Source organism: Homo sapiens, chromosome 1 (assembly GCF_000001405.40).
Source record: "Homo sapiens chromosome 1, GRCh38.p14 Primary Assembly".
Classification (NCBI taxonomy): domain Eukaryota; kingdom Metazoa; phylum Chordata; class Mammalia; order Primates; family Hominidae; genus Homo; species Homo sapiens.
Window position 1 is genome coordinate 222152872 of NC_000001.11, and position 4999 is coordinate 222157870.

Consider the following 4999-nt stretch of genomic DNA (forward strand, 5'->3'; position numbering starts at 1 on the left):
GCACTCTGCCCTTCCAGGGCCTACTCCAGCTGCAGGATGTTCTGCTAATGAGTTTGGATCATTCCATAAAGTATCTTCTTTTCCATGTCTTCATCTATTCTTTTCCTAAGAAGCAGACCATGCAAGGTCACAGATCTTGGAATGTCACACTTGTCACTATAACTCCATTCGATCATTGTGTCCTGCACATCAGCAGCCCTCCACACATAGGCTTAAAGGATGATGTCGCTGAGCACAGTCGTTCAAGCTTGTCATCCCAGCACCTTGAGACGTGCTGGGATGTGCTAAGGCAGGAGGATTGCTGGAGCCCAGGAATTTGAGATCAGTTTGGGCAATATAGCAAGATCTTGTCTCCACAAAATATTTTAAAATTAGCCAGGTGTAGTGGTCCACACCTGTAGTCTCAACTACTCAAGAAGCTGAGGTAAAAGGATCACTTGAGCTCAGGAGTTTGAGGCTGCAGTGAGCTATGATTGTGCCACCGCACTCCAGCCTCGGTGACAGAGTGAGACTATCTATTTAGAGAGAGAGAGAGAGATGCTACAAATCCTTTGTGATGATCCATGCTGGATATAAGGGGATTGACTAAGTGTTGGCTTGAGATTTCAGTTCTTTCAAATGTTTGAGAAAGAGGCACAGACCTGGGATGGATGTATACATTGAGGAACAGCCTAACACCACCAACTCCCAAGAAACTAGAGTTCAAGCAAGTGACAAGGGCAGGAGCTGGTCATAGTAATGCTTATGTCACTCTGATTTGACGATATGACATCACAATGCTGTGACCCAAGGAAACTTTGAGTAAGCTAGTTACCTGTCACGTTGTTCCCTGTATTTCCCTTAAACAGGTCTCTCTCTGACCCTCAGGTACTTTTAAAATACACATTCTTCGTTTCTCATCTTCTAAGAACTTATAGTGTAAGATAATTTATAGTGTAAGATAATATAGTGTAAGACAAAAAGGATATAAGGATATACAATTTCAATAGTTTTTCTTCTCTTCTTTTTGTCTCTGTTTTGGGAGCAGGTAATAAAAGTAAAAATAATAATAACAATAATAAGACTTGTGGGAAACCTGACTCGGAGCAGCTAGTCATGGATCTCAGTGTGAATAACGAAGTTCCCTGGCTTACGTCTGGTTGTTGGTGTAGCCATGCCTTTATACGGTTTCATTTTTCTAGAATGCATTTACCACCTTTTTTCACTTGGTATCTCACCAGTTAGTCAACAGAGTCTGCTCCTCCACGGCGCTCCGTGTCAGGCCTGGCGCCACCCCGTGCTCCTGCACTGTCCTCAGCCTTCCTCTGCCAGAGCCTGCACCACACACAGCATCGCATCCTCTGTTCGCTTCTTTGTCTCCCCTCCTCCTCAGTGAGATCCTCGAGAGTGGTGCAGTGTCTTACTCTTTGTCTCCACAGATATTGGCAGAGTACCTGGCATATGATTACACTCAATTATGATGAACTGAACTGCTCAAGGAAAGAGTTGGTGGAACAACTTTAAGCCTAAGAATGCACGGATATATTATGCAGTCTGGAGGATATCAAATAAGTACTGTCTGTGCCTTCTTTTCCCCAAAGCAAACCATTCCCATATCAAGAATTCTGGGGTAAGGATTTGCCCTCTTTTTAAGCTGACAAATCCCAGCATATGTCTCTAATGCACAAGTGGGATATGACTGAGAGCTCTAAGAGATCAAAGCTGTTAAAAATTGATTTTAGTGGCCAGGGGTAGTGGCTCATGCCTGTAATCCCAGCACTTTGGGAAGCTGAGGCGAGTGGCTCACTTGAGGTCAGGAGTTCGAGAGCAGCCTGGCCAACATGCCAAATCCCAGTCTCTACTAAAAATACAAAAATTAGCTGGGCAGCATGGTGGCATGCACTTGTTGTCCCAGCTACTCAGGGGACTGAAGCAGGAGAATTGCTTGAACCTGGGAACCAAGAGGCTGCAGTGAGCCGAGATCACGCCACTGCACTCCAGCTTGGACAACAGAGCAAGACTCCGTCTCAAAAAAAAAAAAAAAAAAAAAAAAAAACAGAGAGAGAGAGAGAAAAGAAAGAAAATTGACCTTAGAAATGGAAAGAAACATACAAAGTCAACAGAGGTACTTTGATCCACCAAGGAAGAAGTCTGAAAGGAGACCTGGAAATAGGCAGGAATCCAGAGAGTATTGTTTTGGTATTAGAAGTTCTCAAGAAGAGAAGCCATGGGCCATGAGCTCTTTTAAAAGTGGGAAGTTAGAAAACTAAGGCCTTGGTGGTAGGGTTACCAGATTCAGCAAGTAAAAATATGAGATGGCTAGATAAACTTGAATGTCAGATAAATTTTAAAAAAATTTTTCTTTTGTCAGTATGTTCCACAGGGTATCTTGTGTTTTATCCAGCAACCCTACCTGGGGGAGAACTTCTGGGAATGTATCCAGAATAACTTAACACTGGGAGTTGACTACCAATTCCAGGTTTCTCATGGAAGAAAATATTTATCACTGTTCCCTATCCAAAGTGGTGGAATGAACAAGAAGAAATGGGGTCAAATCAAAGACTGAGAGTTCATTTGGATATTCACTAAACCCCTCTTATGTCCTAGCACTTCAATAAAAATTATTTCAAACATCTCCCAAAATTCTGAAATGTATAAGTTGTATCACTTAATGTCAAGGTAGTTGATGCTCAAAAAGCTAATAGGTGACGGAGGCAAGAATTTCCAGCCACTCCATCTGGCTCCAAAGTCATCCCTGGGTTACCGCTGACTTTCCACTATCCCCTCTCCTTTCACATCTCTGTACCTTTCCTGAACTCTGAGATCTGCCTTCTTGTTTGGAAAATAAAGACATCATGTTCTTGTTTAGGAAAAGTTTTATTTCAGGAAAAAAAAGTCCTGGGTGCATTTTATAGAGTGGATCAAATAAGGTCTGGTGCCAGGAGAGCGCTATGGCACATCCCTAGACCCCCACGGTTCTTACTGCTATCCTAATACTTCATGCCTGTGCCTACTTGAAAGAAACCACTTGGGAACATTTTTTACTTTCCTTCAAGTTTCAAAATTCCTTGAGAAAAATAAAACTTAAGCTCTTATAAATAATTTAACACACTCCAAAAGTTATAGACAGGGCCTTCCTGTGTACCTAAGAAGGTAGTAGCATACAAGGAGTGAATTCATGTTACCCAAGGGTCTTTTCCCAAACCTCTTCCTGCTGGCTCCAGGGGGAGAGAAAACCTGTCTATTGTTTTTGAATTCCTAAAGCCTGGCACAGTGCCTGGGACACTGCTGATGCTCCATATATATTTGTGGGTATGAACTGTCTCAATACTCAGGTGTCCCAAATTGCATTCATTCTTTTAATTTTGGAGTTTAGCCTGTTCATGAAAAGAACAAAAATTATCCACATGCTGACCTGAAAGAGTTCTGAGCTTTTTCCAGAAGGCAGGAAGGTGGGGGAACAGTCTCTTAAGAGTTAGGAGAATGTCTTACAGACACATCCAACAGACGGGCTGAAAAGGGTGGGCGCCGAACCTGATTGACAGGTTGAAAGCCCCAGCCTGCTACTTTTTGGCTGGTGGCCTTAGGCAAGTAACTTAGCCACATTATTTTTGCCTCATTTTCTTCACTCGTAAATGGCATCAGTAACAGTACCTCCTTTACCAGTTTGTCTTAAGGATTAAAGAAGAATCTTAGAACAGTACCTGGCTCATAAGTGCTCAAATGAATGCTAACTATAGCTTTTCCCAAGGAGAAGATCAAACTGAAGTCATCTTCAGAAAATATTCTCAACTTTGAATGAAAGCAAAATTTTGATGTTTGAAATGTGTCTCTTTAACAGTCAACACAAATGACTAAAATTTGGAACTTTAGGAGGAAGACGGAAAAGGAGACAGTAAAATGCAGGAGAATATTAGTGCCCCCCAGGCTGGTGGCTGCTGCCTGCTCCATGGTGCCCCCAGGCTGGAACTCCTATATCTGTCTCTCTGCACACTTACCTGGTTAGATAGCACTGTTGGTGTCCTGGGTGTGTGCCTGGCACTCATTTGTGAGTTCCTGAAGGTCAAGGCTTAGAATCTTCTTCACTGTGTTTCTAAAACCCTACATGGAGCTAGGCATGTTACAACAGGCTTATAATTTGTTATTTTATTCATTCAGCCAAGGTTTTTTATTTTTTTAGCTTAGGTAATTTGTGTCAGGCCCTGAGCTAGGTGTGGGGAATAAAATAATGAGCACCCGGACACACAGCTTTTAAGGCATCTTAGGAGACTGGGAGTGATACAGGATGGCTCTCACCCTCTCCTGTCCCTCTCCTCTCTCAGGGCTTGACTACCATCCCCTACCCCACCCACCCCCCTTCACACAAACACACACACACACACACACACACACACACACACACACACACACTACACTACCACCATCAGGAAGCCTTCCTGGCTTGATGCCAATTTAAATTACAAATACATGTTCATTTGTGCATGCTTGGCTCTCAAATTCTACAAATCAGAACAGGATTAAGATAAGTCTTGAGAGGAGCAACTCAAGGTGTGTCTACAGCACCTTCCCACTAAAGCCATGAATCTCCCTAAAGTTTGTCTCCTTGATTCACCCACAAATGCAGATCAACCACTAACAAGGACTCCCTCCTTGATCAAACTTTAGTCAGGCTCATCTGAGCTCCTTGGCTAGGCCTCGTCCTTGGCCTGCTGAGCCAAGTTGTAGCAAAGAATCTTGCTAAGCCAGTGTATGGAGAATCTCCTTCACCCTTGATACCTTGACATCCAATCAATCTCTTCTTCCTCCATCCTTAATATCTAATCAAGTTCCTTTCCTCCCACATATCCCCAACCCTTAATTCCTAGCCAAGTTCCTCTTAGCAATTTTCCATGCACTTCCTCAACCTACCATTTTGCTATAAATTTCCACTTGTCCCTGTTGTATTCAGAGTTGAGTTCAATCTCTCTCCCCATTGCAATAGCCTTGCATAAAGTCTTCCTCGCCATTTTTATAAAGCATC

General features: G+C 42.9%; 1 annotated feature.

The window, feature by feature from the left end:
• Positions 1250–1419: an enhancer, noted in NCBI's record as "experimental_5024 CRE fragment used in MPRA reporter constructs". NCBI's record gives its function as "activates a minimal promoter by MPRAs in K562 erythroleukemia cells, with activity observed for the non-introgressed 1:222327548 variant allele {active_cell/tissue: K562}" and the evidence as "EXISTENCE:reporter gene assay evidence [ECO:0000049][PMID:34662402]".